At 43.1% G+C, this 23,193-nt stretch overlaps 1 protein-coding gene, 1 non-coding gene and 2 pseudogenes across 2 annotated transcripts in view; 1 reads left to right on the top strand and 3 right to left on the bottom strand.

The window, feature by feature from the left end:
- Window positions 1–23,193, bottom strand: part of GALNT10 (polypeptide N-acetylgalactosaminyltransferase 10) — a 230,252-nt gene that overhangs the window by 63,534 nt on the left and 143,525 nt on the right. The window lies entirely within an intron of this gene.
- On the bottom strand, window positions 7,726–8,023 carry RN7SL655P (RNA, 7SL, cytoplasmic 655, pseudogene; annotated as a pseudogene).
- MIR1294 (microRNA 1294) lies at window positions 10,204–10,345 on the bottom strand. Its single transcript, NR_031626.1, has one exon. It is a non-coding gene; the product is annotated as a microRNA 1294 (primary transcript).
- On the top strand, window positions 19,020–19,904 carry HNRNPA3P7 (heterogeneous nuclear ribonucleoprotein A3 pseudogene 7; annotated as a pseudogene).

The following is a 23,193-nucleotide window of genomic DNA, read 5'->3' as shown; positions in this document are numbered from 1 at the left end:
ATTTAATGGATTGGAAAAAAGAAGACAATAAAAACCACCTGTAATTCTACCACCCAGACCACTATTAACATTTTGATATATATATACTTCCAAGCATTAAAAAATCCACATACATACCTATAGTTAGAGACGTGTTGCTTGGTTTCCATATTTCATAGGAATGGGCCCAGATATACATCCCCATCTGTAGCCTTGGCTTTCCTGCACTTAACCCCTGCCTTGCAATCATCTTTGCAGGCTGTTGTTTCCCGGTAGTTCCCTTACACCAAACCCTCCTTACTACCAAAATTTGCTCACTTGGCAGTTTTTCTGGGATGGGCTGAGCCAATGTTTCCCAAATGTAAGTAATAAGCAGTCCCCTTTAAAAGCAAAAAAAATCTGTGGCCTCTTCTATAAACATACCCGGGAATGTATCTAAGAAATACTAATCAAAGAAACCAAAGTTTCTGTCTTTTAATTGTGAATTTTCACTACAAAGAGGAGTATCATAGTTGGTAAAAGAATCTTTTAAGACACTAAAAATCAAAATAAAAAGGTAAAATTCCTGTCTACCTCTTGGGTGCAGTGAACCCTCATTTGAGAAGCACTGGTCTAAGGCATGATAACGGGTCCCTCAAAACCCAAGGTCCTTGTTGGTTTGGCCTCTGTAGCCCTCTTTATCTGGGCCCAGCTCTGCTGGCCCTTCCTCCCTAATGAGGGACCTTAGAAAGTGCACAGGTCACTGGTTTGCACCCTGTACACCCTGGAGCCCTGGAGTGCAGCCCAGGTTCTCCCAGGGTCTCCCTTCTCCCACCTTCAGGGGGAGTAGGCATCCTTTACAATTTTTTCTACATGAGGCTCCTGGGTAAGATTTATTTTGAAAAACGTTTTTACTATTGAAAAAAGGAAAAAAGCTTGAAAAGCACAAATGTAAGCCATTCTCTTCATATCACAGATGGTGAAATTATGAATCAGAGAGGGCAGGGCTTCCTGGGCCACCAGCAAGTTTGTGGCAGACAGGCCTGAGACTTGAGGCTCCCTCCCCCAGCCCTGCCACACCTCAGATCCCTCTCCCAGAGCCTTTCTCATACCCAACCCCCAGCCCTCACAGTACCCTGCTTCACTGTCTCCTTGCTTTCCCCAAAATAAGCATCAACTTTTAAGAGTTCCCTATGTATTTCCTCTCACATGCAGATGGGAAGACACAAAAGCAACGGGTGCAGAAGTCTCCAAATGGAATCCTGGCATCATCCCAGAGCTGCGTATGCTGAAGGGTCTCTAGCACACAAAGGGAGAGGGAGTTGATGCAGTCGGCAGATCTGTAATTGCAGACATAATCTTTTTAGCTGGAGACACCTTTCTGATTCCACTGAAGATGAAATGAATTCAATTTGAGAATTCATTCCCATTCTAAATACCAAAACAGAGGCTTTCAGGAAATGAAGGCTCTCTCTGTCATGGAGCCAAATGTCTGACAGTGGCAGCCAGGTACTCGGTCTATGACCTGGAAGAGGGAGGGGCTGGGAGGTACAGAGTGGAAGGTAGGTGCCTTGGTGTAGACCTAGCTTCCAGGTAAGGTGAGCCTTACCTCAAACTTGCCATGTGACCTTAGCCTACTCATGTATCCTTCCTGAGCGTCAATGTCCTCATCTCTAAAATGTGTTCACTGGATGTAGTGAGAGTGCAAATGATGGATGGTGCCTGGAGGCAGGCTGATGTGTTTTGTCACTTAGCCCCAGCATGTCAGATATCTCAACTGCAAAATGGGAGCAAACAAATTTACTAATCGGGAGAGAAGTAATACTGGTGTCAGAGATTCTCCATAAATAGGATACCAAAAAAATCACTTCTTTCTTTGACATGCAATGGCAGCTGCTGCCTCAAACATGTCATTTTTTGGCGAGTGCTGACATCACCAGTGAGCTCTAAGGCATGCCTACTCCCGCTGGACCTGGCCCTGGCCCTTCCTTGGCTCCCTCCTGAGCTTGAGAGGCAGGGCCAGGCCCGGAATGGGAGGGGGAGCAAATAACGAGAGGCCAACCATTCAAGCTCCAGGACCTCCAGGGAAGAGAGGGCTGGGCCAGAGTATCAGAGAAGCCTTCTCAGAAGGCAGAGGGCCTGATTGCCCTGGGCCTCTAGGACTAGTGGGACTGTCAGGAGGCAGATAAACAGATATGCATTGGGTCATGAAAGCATGTGTGATGATGAGAGAGGGTGAGGGGGGAGGAGCAGGAAGGGAGGTTGGACAGGAAGGTGGGGCCCCGTGCCTCTGTCTCCTAGCAATGTCAGGCCTGACCTTGGGAGGGCAGATACTGAGCCCTGTCCTGCAGCAGCATCCACCCCTCATCTGTCCCACCCCAGCTCTACAGCGTGCAAGACAGACAGAGTGTGTGCGATACATTTCAAAGGGGCATTCTACATCTATCATGTGGATGTCATAATTCAGTACGATGCACAAACAGTACCACAACGACTTGACAGTCTGGCTGGGGCAATGAGAATTAGATAAGCAAAAGCAATATCCAATTTATCACATGGACTTGGAGCTGAGATGAAAACACATATGACTGATGATGTTCACGGAGTGACAGGATCACACGGATATACCCAGGGTCACGTACAGTTTCCATGCCTGGGGCTATAAGAGCTACAATGGCATCTCTTTTTCTCCCACCCAGTAAAGCACAGGGTACAGCAGATGTGTGAGTGTCATGATATAAAGACGTACTAGACACAAAGATGTGTGCCTTCTGTAATGTCCTTAACTGTCTCCTCTCCCCAACGATACCCCCCCACCCGAATGCCCCAGCATCTCACCTGAATCAGGTCACAGGGAGACTCAGATGAAACATCACACTACACTGGGGCATGGGATGGGGCTTTCTGAGTAGCCACCACAGAACTGGATGACACAACTGGGAAGTCAGTTGGGACTATGACCAATGGGAAGCAGGAGATGAGAGACAATCAGGTAGAAAAACTTCCTTTTCTCTCTGTCTACGGACTCCTCTGAGATGCTGTTCCCCCTGGTGAGCTACTGAAGCAGTGCCCCCATGCTGCAAGAGCATACCTGCTGGGTGTTGGCACTACTGTGAAGAGAAAGCTGCAGTCATCACCCCTTGAAGTTTCCTGAATCACTTTCCCTTTTATCCTCACCATCGCTGTCTCAGGCTCACACTCCCCTTCCCCAAATAAACTGTCAGTGACTTAATCCTGCCTTAGTCTCTGTTTTCTAGAGGACACAGGCTTAAGTATGACAAAGAATAACCATACATTTGATCTAATTTGTAAGATAAAAGTAAGTCATTCACAAACACTGATGCTTTTGGAACGGTCACAAAATTACTTGTGACACCCTTATAGCACGTCCCAGCCCACAGTATCTCACAATGCTAGGGAATGGTAGGTTAGAATACAGAGTACTGGTGGGTTGCGATTCAAGTACTCAAAGGTGCTCTCATACCTATTCATTAATTCAACACTTAATGATGTCGCTATGCATCTGGCATTGTGGCGAGTACTGGGACACAGAAGTAACTAAGACATGGTCTATGGGAGGGTCAGCATGGAAGTACAAGGGCAGGTGCCACATAAGAGCTGGGAGTCAGGAAGGGGGAAGAGGGAGGTAAGGCTGTCTGAGGACAAGAGATGGGGAAGGCATCACAGAGGAGGGGACTCTTGAGTTTGGTCCAGAAGGATGAACAGGATTTGCCAGGAGGAAAAGTGAGAGGGAATGAATCACTCTTCTCCGAACTTCCACTGCCTGTTGCCTATTCTCTCACAGCATAGACTTCATTTTGCCATAGAATCTCAGGCCCTCAGGGCAGGGCCCATGTCTTCTTGTTCATCAGGGTATCCCTAAAGTCTAGCCCAAGGCCTGGTTTGTGGCAAGGGCTCGGCAGAGAAAGACACAGACAGCCCAGCTCAGTGGTCTAGCCCTCCCTTCCACCCAATGCGCCTGAGGGACGTTGCTCATTCCTTCCCACTGGCCACAGTGACTCCAAGGAGCTGTGCTCCCCTTGGAAGGTGGGGTGCTGAGGACGAAAGTCCTTTTTGCAGCTTTGCTCCACTCCTCTGGGTGGCGTGGAAAGTGTTTCCCCTGTGAGAAGCTTAGCCAGGGGTTGGTAATGATTAAATTGAGTATGGTAGGATGATATTTAGAAGGTCGTTTTGCGGGGGGTGGTGTCATTGCAATCTGTTTTCGCTCATAATTGCGGCTTCACTAGCTCCACCACAACCCAAAACATAAACAGAATTCACCTTGAACTCCACTGCCCTCAGAGATGAAAGCCATAATCAACATCAGAAAACAAAACAAACAAAAGTTTTCAGCAAAAACCAAGGTCCTGACACAGCAATCCGTGTGGAGGAACATCTGCTGAGTAAGTAACCAGCCCTCCGAGGCCTCATCCGTGCCCTGGACTGCAAACTCTTCTGGACTTGGGGAGTGGGCAGTTATCAGAGAGGAGGGGAGAAGAGGTCAGAGCTGGTGAGGATTCCTGGATCCAAGTTCACCTTCGGATGACACAGAGCTTGAGACAGAAGGAAATTGCATTCTATGTAAAAAGTTTGCATCTTTGTCCACCTGAGTTGGGCGCCCTGTGAAAATTTCTTCCCTGCCATAGCCATGTCCCGATGCAAGACCGCGGGGTGGTCAAGGTTTCTTAAACCAAAAGGCTTTGCTCAATTAACACAATTTAAAGGGCTCTGTAGCATCACACACTACTAAATGGGCCTCTGCATGAACAAACATGCAGCTGACAAAATTTTCAAAAATGGCACAGGACAGGGACAGGTCCAAGGCCAATTCCTCTCTTCCTGAATGACAGGCAAGACCTCTGGGGGCAAGATGGTAGAAAGCAGTGGTAGGTACCTGGGGCCCACCCAGCCCAGGGAAGCTCCCAGCTTCCGTTTACTAGCTGTGCGATCTTGGGCCAATTACTTAACCTCTCCCAGCTGCAGGGTTTTCATGGGCAAAATGGGGATAATATTATACCTCCCTTACAAGGCTGCTGTGAAGAATTACTGAGATGTGAGGGTAACTCACTTAGAACTACACCTGGGACATAGTAAGCACTTTATCTAGGGCCAGGATCCCCAGGTGGAAACCCAAATTAAACAGGTGAACTTTATGTCCACTTGCAGAGGGGCTGTCAGCACTCAGTTATTCCCACCAGTGGGCCGTGTTGAGTTTGGGGTGTGGAAGAGTAGCTGGAGCCGGGGGTGGCTGAGGGAGCCTTCCCTTGTGAGCCCTGCCTGGGAACAGTCCCTGAGGCCCAGGTCAGGGTGCTGGGTGCAGAGTCAGGCCAGGAATGGCCAATGCTAGAAACTCAGGTATCTGGTAAACAGATACAGAGTGGGTATTTCATAAATATTCCCTAAGTGAATCAATGGGCTTTGGAATCATCAACTGGCTGTGCATCCCTGTACACGGCACACAGCCTTTCTGATTCTCATTTTCACCTCTAAAAAGGTGATGATAATGTCTTCCTGTTGGGGTTGTTGCAAAGTTAAAATGCAGTAAGTAAAATACCTGGCACACAGTAAGTGTTCAATAAATGGTAGCCATTGAATTACACTGTGAACTAGGAGCAGGAACCAGAAAATAAATGAGTCATAACTGAAGGGAAATAACTCTACTTAGGTGTGTAACCTCAGGCAAGTCATTTTCCTTTATTAAAGTCTCAGTTGCCTCATTTATAAAGTGGAAGCAGTCAGATGGCCAAACCCATAGGATTGCTGTGGGGATCAGGTAAGGTACCCAAAGTGAAAACTTCATAAAGTCTAAAGTGAACGGATGCTAGTGGCTGAGCAAAGTCAATCTGGACTGTGGGTTACAGACGAGCGGAAGCCACTCAAACCAAAGGAGCCAGGAACAAGGTGTGTGCACAGTGAACCAAAGTCACAATGGCCTTTCCAATTTATCATGTTTACTATGTTGGATATTTTTTCTGATTATAAAAATATTGCATTGTAGAAAATTTGGAAAACACATAAAAGCAAGCAGTAAAACACAGAAATCTTCTGTGATTCTATCACCTAGAAATAACCATGGGTATTTGGTTGTGTTTCAGTGTGGCACTGCCTTAGGTGAGCCCCAGGTGAGCTCCAGATGAGTGGACACAAGGCTGCACACTAGAGTGGTTTGAGGGCAGGCCCTCAGGTCAGCTGCCAAGTTCAAATCCTGTCTCACATCCCACTAGATGTGTGGGAGAAGATTCCTCACTTCTCTAAATCTCAGTTTCTTTGTATGCAAAATGGGGATAACAATAACATTATTTTCTTCACAGTAATGAGGAATAAACAAGGTAATGCACATCAATTGATTGGCATAGCACTTGTCACATTATACAAATTCAATCAGTGTAGCTATTATTTTCATACATACATACATACTCACAAAATGGGATATTTTTGGTAATTATCATGTCATCAAAGTTTCTTCTACAACAGTAGTTCTCACAGCATTTCCTGGGAACTTGTTAGAAATGCAAGTTCTCAGCCAGACTTGACCTGCTGAATCAGAAACTACAAGTGGGGGGACCCAGCAAACCAGGTTTTAACGAGCCCTCCTGGTGATTCTGGTGTACCCTCAAGTTTAAGAACCACCGGCTTACAGCATATTTTTAATGGCTTCATGGAATTTTCTACCACGATTTACTTACTTGGTCTCCTTTTTTCAGACACTTAGACTATTTGCTAGCGGTGTGCGGGAGCGAGCTTGCACAGGCTCACAAGAAGCAACTGTGAACATCTCTTCCCAGCTCTGTTCCATTGGTAGCTTGAAATCAGCCAAGGTGGGAGTTTTTACGCCACAGAAATCAGCAAATGCAACAAATCAGGGCTCCTCCCCTTTACTCCAGCTTGTTGTTAACTTTTACCAGCATGCTACTGGCTACTTCCATTGGTTTTTGTATGATAAGCAGCATTATGGTGAATAACCCTGCACATACATCTATTTAACTATCTTTGATTGTCTCCTTAGAAAAATCTCTAGAGATGGAATTGCTAGATCAAAGGATATGCTCATATTTAAGGTGTTTTGATACAAACTGCCAATTTGGCCTGTCAATTTATACTCCCACTAGCAGAGTAGGAGTGAGTTTATTTTCCTGCACTGGTTGCAATGGATGTTTGAGCTGTGGACTGCGGACCCAGGATCCTGCACCATGCCCCAGCCATGCTGAAGAACAGAGCAAGTCCTGACATTATAGAACAACCACTGGCCCCTACCCCATTCTCAGTGTCTCCAGTTCTATGGGGACTACATTTTTTTTTTTTTAAAGGAAAGCAACTTTATTAGAGAAGTAAAGAAACAAAAAAATGGCTACTGCATAGGCAGAGCAGCCAGGGACTAAATGTTCACGGCTGTGTCATGTGTTCCACACTTGTCTCTAGAGTAGGGCTGTCCGACAGAATTTTCTGTGATGATCTGTATCTGTGCTGTCTCAGTTACATACGGCTATTGAGCATGTGAAATGTGGCTTGTGTGACTGAGGAACTAACGTTTTAATTTTATTGAATTTTAATTTAAATGTGAATAGCCATGTGTGGCTAGTGGCTACTGTAACAGACAACACAGCTCCTGGAATTCAGGAGGGACCAGGGCTTATGGTTCTTCTATAACTGATAACCACGGTGACCAGACATCCTGCATTACTGGTCTCAGCTCTAATTTCAAATAGTCTGTTCCCACTGACTCATAAACACTAACATACTGAAAGCTAAAAAAAATTTTTTTTTTTCAGAGATGGGGTCTTGCTATGTTGCCTAGGCTGGAGTGCAGTGGCTATTCATAAGCACAATCCCACTACTGATCAGCACAGGAGTTTTGACCTGCTTTGTTTCCAATCAGGCTGGTTCCCTCCTCTTTAGGCAACTTGGTGGTCCCCTGCTCCTAGGAGGTCACCTTATTGATGCCAAACTTAGTGCAGATACCCGATCAGCATAGTGCACTAAAGCCCCAAACTCCTGGGCTCAAGCTATTCTCCTGCCTCAGCCTCCGGAGTAGCTAGGACTACAGGCACACACCACCTTGCCCGGAGAAATTTTTTAAATGTCTGGAAATTCTGATATTTCAGAATTTAAATTACAACTCCCAGACTACTTTTTCTACCTGGAATCTTTGTCAGATTATGGGTCTCCTTGGGGATCAGGAAATGATCTCCAGGCTCAGCAGGGAGGACAGAGGTACAGTAACTCAGGAGGTACAGCCTCCTGACAATCACTGCTCAGGACTGCTGAGAGACCATCCTGCCTCAGTGCTTTTGCTTATGCTGTTCCCTTAGCCCAAGGAACCTCCTTTACTAGGCAATGACACCTATCTAGGAAGCCTTTCCTGATTATTTTTATTTAAAATAATATAAATAAAGGGTTCGCTGTCTCTGTGGCCACTTAAACATGGCTCATAAAGTCTAACCTCAAGTGAGAGCCTTGAGCCACCCCCTTAGGATCTATTTAACCCGTACTTTAGATAATACTTGAAAAACTAATAACTGGGTTTCTTATTCCAGCTGAATTGAAATGGCAAATTAGAAAGCGTACAAGCCTTCTAGGGACAGACACACTGGAGGTGACAAGAAGTAAACATCATCTAAGAGTTTGCAGTAAGGGAGAAGATTTAGAAAAAGATATAACTGATATTAAGACATTGAAAAGTTATCAATTTATAACTCTTAAACTCTAGGGAAGAGGTGAAGAAAGTCATCATAGGGTCCTAGGATTTAAAGCTTGACAAGATCTTAGAAGTCATCCATACTTTGTAGATGCAGACACTGAAGCACAAAGAAGTGATGTAATTTGCTCAAGATCACAAAGCTATTTATTTACTGGTAGGGCTGGAACCAAAGCTTGTCTACTTGTTCTCATACCAACACCTAGAAAAGTCACTAATGGATGTTCTACTCCACAATGCCACTGAATTGATGAGGTATTTATGGAGGAAAAACAATAATTCCCTACCCCTCTACACAAAGATATTTTCTCTTATCACTGATGACAAACTCTGGGAAAGAATACCTCTCCATAGAGAAGCAGGTGTCAAAAAGGAAGAATAAAACAATAGTTGGCATTTATAGCTTTATGGTATGAATAGCGCGACTTGGAGGTGATGTAATATTTGAAAGGGCCTTCTCTAATTGGGGTAATTAATATCTAAGATGGTATTACAAATGGACAATGTGACCAAAGGCTGTAATAAAAATGAAATCCCCCAAACATATGGCTGTCCATCAAAATGCAAATGACAGAAGAGAAACAAATGACTGATGATATACAAATGATTTCAACGCTCTGTACATCACAAGCCATTTATTTTGGGGCTTGAGCCGTGGAGGAAGAATAATACGATTGATCTAAGGCAGCTATGAACCACCACTGATAAATAAATGTACATCTTCTGGCTCTATGCAGGAACAGGTATTCAGAACAAGGTGGTTCACACAGACAGACAGCTCTTTAAATGATACCTTGCAATTACATTACAGCCTTCCAGCAGATAATAAACCTTCAATGAGAGCCTTGAGCCACCCCCTTAGGATCTATTTAAATTTAAAATTTTCCAGTGACATGAAGGTTGAAGGGAAAGAAAATCAGACTCTATTTTAGAGGGGAAAAAATTCTCAGCAAATCAAACTTGGGGATTGATAGCCAAGTAGAAAAATGTCTGGTTTTTCATTCCTTCTCCTTATAGGTGAATATTTTGTCTGGCTCAACCTGGTCCCTGATTTTCAAAGTCAAAGTGCTAAGAGTGAATGGTTCTATGAGAAATAAATGAAGAAAACATAAGGCATTAAATCCTTAGAAGTAGACTGGGTGTGGTGGTGGCTCACGCCTGTAATCCCAGCACCTTGGGAGGCAGAGGCGGGAGGATCACTTGGGCTCAGGAATTTGAGACCAGCCTGGGCAACACAGCGAGACCTTGTCTCTACTAAAAATTAAAAATTAGCTGGGTGTGGTGGTGCATGCCTATAGTCCCAGTTACTTGGGAGGCGAGGTAGGATGACTGCTTGAGCCCAGGAGTTTGAGGCTGCAGTGGGCTATGGTTGCATCATTGCACTTCAACCTGAATGACAGAGCAAGATCCTGTCTAAAAAAAAAAAAATCCTTATAAGTTATTCCTATCACCACATAGGAGGTAACAGGAAGTAGTGCATAATAGTGTATCACTCTTGATCCAAATAAATTTGAGTTTGGATTCTGACTCTGCCATGCGCTTGTCCAGTTTACACCTTCCTAATCCTCAGTTTCACCTCACTGAGTCCTGTGAGGTTGGCACTGTTGTATATCAGACAATGCCAGACAACAATGCCAACCTCACAGGACTCGGTGAGATCATAAATGAACAGATCTTGGCACACATTAGGTGTTAATAAATGGTGACATTTATTACTGTTCTCATATATTATTATTAATGATGGTTTAAGTTTGGGATCTTCAATGTGGAACTAGAAAGGAGGATGAAAGAAAAAGAAGGGATGAATAAACACAGAATTTCCTAGCAAGGAATATGATGGTATCAAGGTTGATAGATGCTCTGAGCCAGCCACTGTTCTAAGCTCTCTACACAAAATATCTCAATTAATCTATAAAACTCTGAGAAAGTAGCCCAGTTTTACTCAATCAGGCACAGAGAGGTTAAGTACTAGCTCAAAGTCTGCTGTCTGACTAAAGCTTGTGTTCTAAGAACACAAGGATTCAAAGCCCAAACAACTTAAGGTTTAAATCTTCCATTTAGCTTCTTTAAAAAAAAAATTGGCACAACTGTGATTTACACTGTTATAAAAGCAGTACTACCTATAGGAGAGTTGCTGGTCATAACATTTGGTTCCTGGTACTGCCAAGGCGGCTCCTGTAATTAAGTTAGCTACAGACACAGCACATTGAGGTATGTCCAAAAAACTTGTCATGAGATGAAATGTCTTTGTTAGATGACTAAAAATGTTCAGTCCTGCTGAAAGTATGTACTGCATGTGCTGTGTTAGCAATTAGCTAAAATGTTAAGACAGGGCAGATACTTGAATGCACTAGTCAAGAAATGTTATTAGAGAATGAGCTTTGGCTCATATTTTCCATACAGCCATTATGGAAAACAGTATGGAGGTTCCTCAAAACGTTAAAAACAGAACTACCATATGATCCAGCAATCTCATTTCTGGATATATATCCAAAGAGAATAAAATCACTATCCTTAAGAGATATCTGTACTGCCATGTTCATTGCAGTACTACTCCCAATAGCCAAGATATGGAAACAACCTAAGTGTCCACCAACAGATGAATAAAGAAAATGTGGTGTGTGTGTATCTATCTCACACACACACACACACACACACGCACACACGAATATTATTCAGCCTTAAAAAAGAAGGAAATAGCCAGGCATGGTGGCTCATGCCTGTAATCCCAGGCACTTTGGGTGGCTAAGGTGGGTGGATCACTTGAGCCCAGGAGTTCAAGACCAGCCTAGGCAACATGGTGAAACCCTGGCTCTTCAAAAAATACAAAAAAAAAAAAAAAAAAAAAAATTAGGCGGGTGTGGTGGTGCACAACTGTAGTCCCAGGCACTTTGGGTGGCTGAGGTGGGTGGATCACTTGAGCCCCAGAGTTCAAGACTAGCCTGGGCAACATGGTGAAACCCTGGCTCTACAAAAAATACAAAAAAAAAAAAAATTCGCCGGGTGTAGTGGTGCAGGCCTGTAGTCCCAGCTACTCAGGAGGCTGAGGTGGGAGGATTGCTGGAGCCCAGAGAAGTCAAGGTTGCAGTGAGCCATGACTGGGGCACTGCACTCCAGCCTGGGCAACAGAGTGAAACTCTTTCTTAAAAAAAAAAAAAAAAAAAAAAAAGGTGGAAATTTGCTGCTTGTAACAACCTGGATGAACTTGGAGGACATTATGCTAAGTGAAATAGGCCAGACACACAAGATAAATACCGCATGATCTCACTCATATGAGGAATCTAAAAAAAGTTGAACTCATAGTTACAGAGCAGAATGGTGATTTCCAGGGGCTCCGGGTGGGGGAAATAGGGAGATGTGGGTCAAAGGGTACAAACTTTCAGTTCAAAGATGAGTAAGTTCTGGAGACCTAATGTGCAGCATGGTGAATATAGTTAATAATGCTGTATTATGTACTTGAAGTTTGCTAAAAGAATAGATCTTAAATATTCTCACTACAAAAAAGGTAGCTATGGGAGGTGATGAACACATTAATTAGCTTGATTGTGGTATGACTTCACAATGTATATATATATCAGATCATCACATTGTACACCTTAAATATACACAATTTTTACTTGTCAATTATCCCTCAATCATATGTGGGGGTGGGGGGAGGATGAGTTTTGATGCATCTTTGGCTCATTATATTAAGTCAGCCAAGGAACAAAAAAGGACCCAACTACAGTGTCCATACCTGCTGCTGGCAGATTTGCCTTCTGAGCACGTGGACAGTTCTGCTGCTGCAGCATGCCCACTGGGGACAGACAGCCTGGACTCGGGGGCTATGACTGTGGGCCTGATTTTTGGAGGGGACTGGCAGCTTGTCAGGGCTATGCCTGGCCAGCAATAGGTGCTCCCTGAAGGTGGAGCACGACTTGTCATTACCCAGCCATATGACTTTAGGAAGTCCCTAAATGTATATTCTCATCTCTAAAATGTACAGGTTGGGTGAAGATTCCTGAAAACAGTGCAGAAATTCCCTGAACTCTGAAGTCATGCTGCCTGGGAAAACTCGGCTTTCTAATATCAGTGGAAAGCCTTGATTTCTTCTAGATTTAAAAATAGACTTTGTGTGTGGGTAACTTGCAAATACCTGAACTTGAGCTTTTGCATGTGGAGGGCTCGCCAAGAGATAGGATCCGTAGGAGTGTAGAAGAAATATTTAAAAATAAAGGTTGAAATGTGAATAGAAGCGGAATATCTGTTCTTGAACTCAGTCTACCACCACCTTTTTTAGAAATGTATTGGCCAGGCGCAGTGGCTCATGCCTGTAATCCTAGCACTTTGGGAGGCCAAGGTGGGCGGATCACAAGGTCAGGAGATCGAGACCATCCTGGCCAACATAGTGAAACCCTGTTTCTATTAAAAATGCAAAAATTAGCCGGGCATGGTGGTGCGCGCCTGTAATCCCAGCTACTCAGGAGGCTGAGGCAGGAGAATCACTTGAACCCAGGAGGTGGAGGCTGCAGTGAGCCGAGATCATGCCACTGTACTTCAGCCTGGGCGACAGACAGAGTGAGACTCTGTCTCAAAAAAAAAAAAAAAAGAAAGAAAGAAAGAAAGAAATTTATTTTGTAGTGGAAGGAACTTATGGACTGGGATACAAACAGGGTCTTCTAAAACCTGGAGGGAGCCATGGGAAGATGAGCATAGATGCACATCCCACTGATGAACCCTTCAAGGAGCGTGATTCTAATGTAATATGAATATGAATTAGCTATCCAGTTAATCATGACACAGCAGGACAAACACACACAGGAGCACAGAGGCAGCCATCAGGATCAGCGACCTGGCCTCAAAGGACACTGGCAGCAAACCCGAGCCAGTGAGTATTCTGAACTAAAGGAACTAAGACCTGGGGTGCCCTGATATCAGCTTTCCTATGTCCAAAGCCACAAAGATGTTAGAAGTGGGCTCATATTGAGGAAGGATTTTGAGGGCAAAAATGTTCATGGGTGAGTTTTATATGTCCCAAGAAGGGCCACATGCTGGAAAGTAGGGCTTTTTAACCAGGTACCCTGAGGTTGGAGGAGATGTAATCTACCCCCCAGAATTGATGGGATGAGGCAACAGAAAAAAGGAAATTTCTGACCGAGGACCAGGCAGGGCCTCAAGCACATTCTTCTATAAAATATTTTTTATTGGACATTTCAGGAGGAATTTATTCCATGCCTAGTGAATTTAGAGTTATGGGCTTGGTTGAGGCCTCAAACAGGTGATTATGGTAATTTAGAGAGAAAGTACTAAGCCATTTCTGTCACAAGGCCGGCCCAACTTGAAAATAATAGTGCCTCCTTGTATTTATAGAGTGCTGAATACTTTCCAAAGTGCTTTCCCATCTATTATCTCATTTGATCCTTACAATGGGCCAGAGATGTCAGCTGTGTCTCTGCCGTGGGGCTTTGAAGGAGAGCTTTCCCCTCTCTGGGTGTCAGTTTCCCTACTGAAAAATGAGGGGACTGTTCTCATCACTCAGTATTTGTTCTCATCAAATATCTCTTGAGAGCTTCTACCAGCAGTAACATCTGAAGGCAGAGTTTCTCAGCTCAGGGTCCCAGAACTGGCTGCATCACAATCCTCAGAAAGCTGGTTACAACACAGATTCCTGGACTCCACCGAGACTGAGGACCTGGACACTCACAGGGCCCGGGGAATCTGCATGTTAAACATTCTTCCCAGGTGATTCTTATGCACACCAAAATTTGAGAACCTCTGCTCTCATATTTCATAACTCCTCAGCTCTGAGATCTTGTCACATAAAACACACGTGGCAACTGAAAAAATCCTGAAAAAGTATAAAATTCTGATGAGTGAGGAGAAAACAGTTTAGTGTTGGCTGAGTGTATCTGATCATCCACATAATAACAGCCTCTCAAGGATATAATTAGTGCCCTCAAAATTGGAATATATGACTGTTTAATAATTTAAGTGAGATCATCAGGATTAATGAATAGCGGCTGAAATTAAATGTGAGACCATAAATCCACACAGGCCTGTTATAGCAAGGCAATTATTTAGGACAAGACATCCTGGAAAACAGGGGTCTGGCCAAGGCTGTAGGCATCTTAACTTATCTCCTCCTAGAAGGGCCATGCGTTTTTGCTGACCCAGGGTATACATTCAAAGACATCACTATCCAAATCTATCACAAAGCACACTTAGTGACCTGCCATGCCTGGAATCCTGTGTTTTCCAAAAGTACGAGGATCTTTTCAACTCTATCAAAATAATCTGAGATGTCTGTTAAGAATGTAGATTCCTGAGGCCCACCCTAGAACCACCGAATCAGTATCTTTATGGGTGGGCCCTGGTAACCTGCATTTAACAAGCTCTTCAGTCGATGCTGATAAGGATAAGAGTTAAGAGCCATTGCTTGAATCCAGATGACCTGGAGACCGCAGGGGCACACTCCAGGTTTGGAATGTCTGCTTTGAAGGTCACATTTTTCTCGGCCACCAGACTAGAAAGTTCTCCTCAGGGTTCTCTCCTTCTGTGAAAATCAGCACCCTCTTGTACGTCCTCATTGCATCGTTTAGCTCATTAATCTTGCATTTTTAATTTCATCTCATTCCCATAATGAGACTTTGAGGTAGACAGGGTAGCGCAGCATTTCAGGTAACAGTAATAATAACAAGCATCACCATAACAACAGCATCATTAACAACAACCACTGAAGGAATGATGACCATGTGCCCGGCCCTGTCACGGTGCAGTACCTTACCCAGTCCTCACCCAACCCGCAAAAGGGAAGACAGTACTTATGGCTTTGGGGTTAGTCCTGACAGAAAATCAACTCTGACTAGTTTACATAAGAAGAGAATGTACTGGCTCATGGGATGGGGAAAGGACGGGGTGGGACTGGTCTGAGGCACATCTGGACTTAGGACCCAGCTGGCATCCTGACTACGTTCTCCATCCCCCTGCAGCCTAAAGGGGGCAAGGACACAGGGGTTTGTGTCTACTACAAAGAATATTCGGCATCACTTTGCTCAGGAAGAAGGTCTATTTACAGGTCATTTTCATTCCTTCATGAGTTCAAGTTCTGTCGTATGGCAACAGAACGTGAATGCTGTGAAGGGTCAGGGCTAGTCTTTCCTCTTGCCTGGTTAAGACAAATCTGCTAGCTGGTGTGGAGGCTCTGGGAAGTAATTGTTAGTTTGAGTTTTCTATTAACAGAGCCTGGAGTGAGGTTATTATTTAGAATATTCTAAACCATATGTTCTGACAGCATATAGGAAAAAAAAGACAATTTCTGAGAAGACTGGACAGAAAGCATAGCCTTATAATTCCACCTGCTTTCACCTTCATTGCAGATTATTAACAATGCCCAATAAATCTCATTCATTAACAAGCCCAGGAATGGAGGACAAATAGGAGATGACAGGAAGTTATTGGTTATTTTGAGATTCCTGGTTGCTTATAAATAAGGTGGGCATCTCTGAAGAGGTCTGCATTTATAAAGTAAGCAGATAAAATAATTTTATTATTATACTAGGAGGAATGAACATTTTTGTCTTTTAGGCGAAGGAACTGAGTGAACATTGAGGATCCCCAAAGGCTGGAAAAGGCAGCCTGCATCTGTGAATACTTTACAGGAACTAATGTCACTAAATCACACGAGAGGAAGGGATGTTACTTTGGCCTTAACACGTGTCTATTTCTTTGTTCTCTATAATGATGTAAAAATTCCATTTTCATGAGATTTCAGTATTTGAGACAGTAAAACAAGAGAAAAAGAGGGAAAAAAGAAATTAAACTTTCAATACCCATGAACACTATATTAATGTACAGTGGTGGAATTTTCTTTTTAAAAAAATTTGAAATAAATAAATGATATATAAATGTGTATATTTGGCCTTCTTGATCTTTAGAGTTGTCAACTGTCGCCTATTTTTGGCTATGAAAATTGGTAGCATTTTAAGCCTCTGATGTAAACAGCTCTAAAGGTGCCTCCAGATTCAAATCAAAACATAATTAACTCTGGAGTTGTGGTTGTCTGATAAAGATGTTCTTGAAAGCTTCAGGGGCTGGAAGTTCTTTAAGGAAATTGGGAAGAAGCTCTGAAGTATCTCTGTTTGCAATGGGTTTACTTGGAGGCTGCCCGTGGGTTGGGTCAGGCAGTAGCTTAGAACTAATGCCTACTTTTTGGCCAACGTGCTTCATTTACCTGCTAGAACCAACATTATTTAGAGGATTTATAATAAATGAAAACAGAAGAACATACCTATTAGACATATAGAGATGTATCAAAGGTCATGCTGGAGCCATTTCATATCACTATTTAAAAGTTTTTGTTTTATTTAGCAGGCGGGGCACACAGAGAAGGGGAATCTCTTGGATTTTGGTTTGAATGCTCTACTAAATGTGAATTTTTCCTTTAGGCAAATGTTGTCTATAAAGAGGCTTCCTATAAAGTGAAACATAATGTATTTAAGTCGCTTACAACAGTGCCTGGCACATAGAAAGTGCTATATAGGTGCTGTGTCGCATTATTATTATTGCTATCACTGCTTTTTTTCCCTCTGTGATACAGGCAAATGAGCACTTTCAGCTCCCCATTTACTGAGCTTGAGAATGTGAATGATGGGAATAGGACTTGGCTGGTGTGCACTAGAGCAGGTTAGTTATTAAGGAAGCTACTGTTAGGTTGGTGCAAAAGTAACTGTGGCTTTTCCTATGAAAGGTAATGGCAAATACCACAATTTCTTTTGCACCAACCTAATACTTTTATTTCAGCCTCAAATCTCATCTCTCTTCAAACCCTGAGTAGATAAGAATTTACATCCGGCCTCAGCTGGCAGGAAGGCCCAGGAGCTTTCCTAAGGAAGACTATGACAGAAGGGGGCAGTTCCTCTGCCCTCTCCCTGGGGATATTATCCAAGGTTCCCCAGTCTTGTGTTCCATTGGCTTTTACTCCCCCACACTATGTTTTTAAGGAAACACTAAAACAGTGGAAAAGGTTAGACTTTAATCCTCATAAGAAAATCAGGAGAATATCCGTGATTTACCACACTCTTACTGCACCAAGTTTTTAAAATGTAGAAGGTTCACCCACGTCAATAGAAGCATCACCTTTCTGAAAATATAATGCAGCTATTTTCCACTACAGAAACAACTCTTTCCAAAACATTGGAGCTTTTGATTCTTCAGATGCAATCTGAGCGATTTATTTGATTTTTTTTTTTTTGCTCTCCCAGTAAATCATTTATACAGTACTTGATTCACAAAATCCTGGGTTTTTTTTTTTAAGATGCACAAAATATCCCATAGATATATTGACTCTTGCATCCTGTGTTTCTACCAGATGTCCACCAAAAGGTTTACAGATTTCCCTCATTATAAACTAATTGATATTCTGTAACAGTTTTAATCTTCTTAGCTGTTCTCTCCTTTGGAGTCTGAGGGAGAAGCGTTTAGGATGTCAAAGATATGAAAGGAGAAGAGAATCGAGAAAGCCTGTAGATTTCCTTAGTGGTAAGGCACCCTGGAGACTGATACTTGAGATGTGGGATTCTTAAGATTACTGAGCCCATTGTGGGGATGATCAATCTCTTCTGTCAATGTGATTCCCAATGAGGAGGAGATGATTATGAGGGTAGGTAAGCAGCTGAGGCCACCTCCCAACCATCTCTCCAAGCCTCAGCTTCATCATCTGGAACAGAAGTCACTTCCCCTGCCCTTGTACTTTCATAGTGGGAAACTATTTCACCTCTAAGGGAGGTTGTGGAGGTGAGGCCAGACAGGCTGAAGTAAAAACAGTCATTGTGCCTGCACGGCTGGCTTTATCTGTCCTCCTTGTGCCATGCTTATTGGCCGACACTGCCCGCCAGCAAGGCCATGGTTCCATACCTGCTAAGCCTGTCCCTGGGTCAGTCAGTTCAGAAGATAAGGGGTACAAAGAGATTCATGTTGTGTTCTCTGGATCAGCCTCTGCAACAATACAGCTGATATTCTGGTCTTGCTTGACACCTGTCTCTATGTCACCATTGTCTCAAAGAAGAAGAGATGGGTAGTCATTTCACAATGACAAGGGGAAGGGACTGTAAAAAGTTAAGTGAAAGAAACCAGGATGCAAAGTTGCATATGATTAAATGTTCACTTCACAAAGTGCCCATAAAAAGGGACTAAATGTAGATTCCCACTATGGAATATTATCTAGCTATTAAAAGACAAATGGGTTTGCTCTGTTTCTACTACTGACCTGAAGGATGGCTGTGATACATTAACAGAAAAAAAAAATTGTAGCTTTCTGCCCATGGGCGCCACTGAGGAAGCACCATTAAAGTCTCCTCCCACTGCCATCATGTCTAAGTCAGAGTCTGCTAAAGAGCCCGAGCAGCTGAGGACACTTTTCATTGGAGGGTTGAGCTTTGAAACAACTGATGAGAGCCTGAGGTCTCAAATCTCAGCCTCAAATTTTTGAGCATTTTGAGCAATGGGGAATGGTCAGAGATTGTGTGGTAAGGAGAGATCCAAGCACCAAGCACTCCAGGGGCTGTGGGTTTGCCACCTATGCCACCGTGGAGAAGATGGATGCAGCCATGAATGCAAGGCCACACAAAGTGGATGGAAGAGTTGCAGAACCAAAGAGAGCTGTCTCAAGAGGCGATTCTCAAAGACCAGGTGCCCACTCAACTGTGAAAAAGATATTTGCTGGTGGCATTAAAGAAGATGCTGAAGAACATCACCTAAGAGATTATTTTGAACAGTATGGAAAAATGAAGTGATTGCAATCATGACTGATCGAGGCAGTGGCAAGAAAAGGGGCTTTGCCTTTGTAACCTTTGACGACCATGACTCCGTGGATAAGACTGTCATTCAGAAATACCATCCTGTGAATGGCCACAAATGTAAAGTTAGGAAAGCCCTGTCAAAGCAAGAGATACCTAGTGTTTCATCCAGCCCAAGAGGCTGAAGTGGCTCTGGAAACTTTGGTGGTGGTTGTGGAGGTGGTTTTAGTGGGAATGACAACTTTGGTCATGGATGAAACTTCAGTGGTTGTGGTGGCTTTGGTGGCAGCCATGGTGGTGGTGGATATGGTGGCGGTGGGGATGGCTATAATGGATTTGGTAATGATGGAAGCGATTCTGGAGGTGATGGAAGCTACAATGATTTTGGCAATTACAACTATCAGTCTTCAAATTTTGGACCCATGAAGGGAGGAAACTTTAGAGGCAGAAGCTCTGGCCTCTATGGTGATGGAGGCCAATACTTCGCCAAACCATGAAACCAAGGTGCCTATGGCAGTTCTAGTACCAGCAGTAGCCATGGCAGTGGCAGGAGATTTTAATTACTGCAAGAAAACAAAGCTTAGCAGGAGAGGATAGCCAGAGAAGTGACGGGGAAGCTACAGGTTATATCAGATTTGTGAACTCAGCCAAGCACAATGGTGGCAGAGCCCAGCTGCTACAAAGAAGACATGTTTTAGACAAATATTCATGTGTATGGGCAAAAAACTCAAGGACTGTATTTGTGATTAACTGTATAACAGGTTACTTTAGTCCCTGTTCTGTGGAAAGTGTAAAGCATTCGAACAAAGGGTTTTAATGTTGATTTTTTTTTGCACCCATGCTGTTGATTGCTAAATGTAATAGTCTGATCATGACGCTGAATAAATGTGTCTTTTAAAAAAATAGTTGTAAAGTAACGTATACAGTATGATCCTAATAAATGGGGGAAAAAGCATGTAAAGCTTAGGAGTAAAGGTTCTAGAATCAGAATGGATGGTTTTAAATCAAAGCTCTGTCTCTTTGAGCTAAGTACACATCAGCAACTTACTTGTGTCCCAGTTTCATCATCTGTAAAATAGGGACAAAAATATTAAATTTATAAGTAGAAAGAAGAGGTCTGATATCATTGAGGCCAGTATGGTTTTCACACTAGGCATGACAGAACCTACCATAGTGCTGTGATAATAAAAGAGTGAATGCACTTAGCACACAGTAGAAGCTCGATAAACATGAGTTCTTTTTATTACATGTTACTATATGTTAGTATGATTATACAGAATGGTCTGGGATGATACATACCAGACTGCAAACATGAATTTCCTCAGTGGGGTGGGACTGGAGGGGAATTGGGAGGGTAGGAAAAAGAAAACAGAAATTATAAAACACTGAGAACAAAAAGAAAATTTACAAATGGCAGATAGGCATACAAAGAGATGCTCTATATCATATGTCATTAGAAAATTCAAGTGAAAATAAAAGTGAGAGACCACTAAGCAGCTATTGACAAAATCCAAAACACTGACAATATCAAATGCTGACGAGGAGGTGGAACAGCAGGAACTCTCATTCATTGCAGGTGGAAATGCAAAATGGTACAGCCACTTTGGAAGACAATTTGGCAGTTTCTTATAAAACTATATATACTCTTACCAAATGATCCAGCAATCACACTCCTTGGCATTTACCTAAGTGAGCTGAAAATTTATGTCCACACAAAATCCTGTACACAAATGTTCATAGTAGTTTTACTAATATTTGCCAAAACTCGGAAGCAGCCAAGATGTCCTTCAGTAGGTGAATGGATAAACAAACTGTGGTATACCCAGACAATGGAATGTTATTCAGCACTAAAAAGAAATGAGCTATCAAGCCATAAAAAGACATGGAGGAATCTTAAGTGCATATTTGTGAGTGAAAGAAGCCAATCTGAAAAGGTTTTATATACTGTATGATTCCAACTACATGACATTCTGGAAAAAGCAAAACTACAGTGACAGTAAAATGATTGGTGGTTGCCAGGGTTTAGGGAAAGGGAGGGATGAACAGGTGGAGCACAGAGGATTTTTAGGGCAGTGAAACTACTCTGTATGATGCTATACGTCATATGGTAGATATATGTCATTTTACACTTGTCCAAATCCATAGAATGTACAACACCAGAGTGAACCCTAATATAAACTATGGATTTTAGGAGAAAGTGATGTATTGATGTGGGTTCAGGGATTGTAACAAATGTACCACTATGGTATGGGATTTTGACAGTGGGGAACTCTCTGTACTTTCAGATGAGATTGGGTGTGTTCAGGGTAGTATGGCCATGGACCTACCTACTTTTTACTTAGTTTTGTTGGGAACCTAAACTGTTCTAAAAAATAAGGTCTATTAAAAGAAAAAACACTGGGGCAAAAAGCCTAAATATTAATACTAATTGCCTCCAAGTGATAAGGTTATGGATGGCTCTTCCTGCATTTCCCACATTTTCTCCTCGACTCCCAGCCTGTGCTTGTCCTGCTCTTTCTGCCTGGAACATTCTTCCCTTCCCTAACCCCAGGGAGTAATATCTACAACACTTTGGATTAAATTTCGCTGGAATTTTCTCCAGAAAGTCTGCCCTGCTGTTCTCTGTACTCTACATTGCCTGGACTTTCACCAGGTAGCACGTATTTCATGGTCTCACGGTCTTACAACTGCCCCTTACCTCCTCTAGGCCTACTGGAGCTGTCGAGGGAAGCCTATTTGATTCCTCTTATATCATAGCACAAAGTACAGCATGTGGCACAGAGTCATGTCATGAATACTGCTGAATACATGAATATGAATTACTTTGATAAATCAGAACAGATGTAGAGAAAAACAAAATAAGCAGCAAAAGAACTCAAAAAGGCGAAAGAACCCAAGCAATAAACTGTAAGTGGGAAATGGCCATGCTAACAAGTTGTGGTGGTGTCAGAAGCAAACTAAGGCTGCTGGAGAGAAGACAAGAAATGGGGAATAGAGGTTTATTGGGCAGTGTCAAGAGTGATGTGTTGAAATGCAAAGAGGGATGGGGCAAAATGGATTTCCGTGATGTGTTCCCATGACTGGCATGGTGTGAGAGTGCAGGTCAGAGTTAATAAGCCCGTTATGGGAAGAGGACTATTGACCCTGGCCTCATGGGTGAGGTGAGCTCACTACCATGTGAACTAACGGGCCCAGCATTGTCTATACTCCTTCCAGCACCAATCACTGCAACAACTTTTCAACAGCTCTGCAAACACCTGCTAAGAACTTCTGCTGGGAACCATTTCCTACATGTGTTTGTTTGTAGAAAGGCAGTTGAGCTGGAGAAAATGCTGTCAATGAGATCATACCATAGCCTGTCACTTTTGTACCTCATCATTCCGGGCAGCCTCTAGTTAATCCAAACACAGTAATTCTTTCCATTACCACATAACTAATTTTTCTGGAAAAACAACACTGTTTGAAAGTGGAGAGGCTAAGGAGAAAGGAATAAAAACAAACAAATTAACAAGACCTCTCTTGTTTTTCCTCATAAAAACATGCCACCCAGGCAGTGCAACCCGGGGACAGGTCTGCCAGCCTATACGCCCATCTTTCCCTTCCACATGTGCAAAAACACCTCAATGTTCTCCTAATCCTCGAGCAAAGCTCATGCATTTGAAGAGCTTGTGGAGACCCCTGGCAAAGTGCAGTGTTCTATTTGTAAGCAGGGCCAGGATTATTCTGGTGTCAGCTTCTGCTTCCACTCGAGTCCTTGATGCTGCCTGC

Source organism: Homo sapiens, chromosome 5 (genome assembly GCF_000001405.40).
Source record: "Homo sapiens chromosome 5, GRCh38.p14 Primary Assembly".
Lineage (NCBI taxonomy): Eukaryota > Metazoa > Chordata > Mammalia > Primates > Hominidae > Homo > Homo sapiens.
This window is presented reverse-complemented; position numbering and strand designations above follow the sequence as displayed.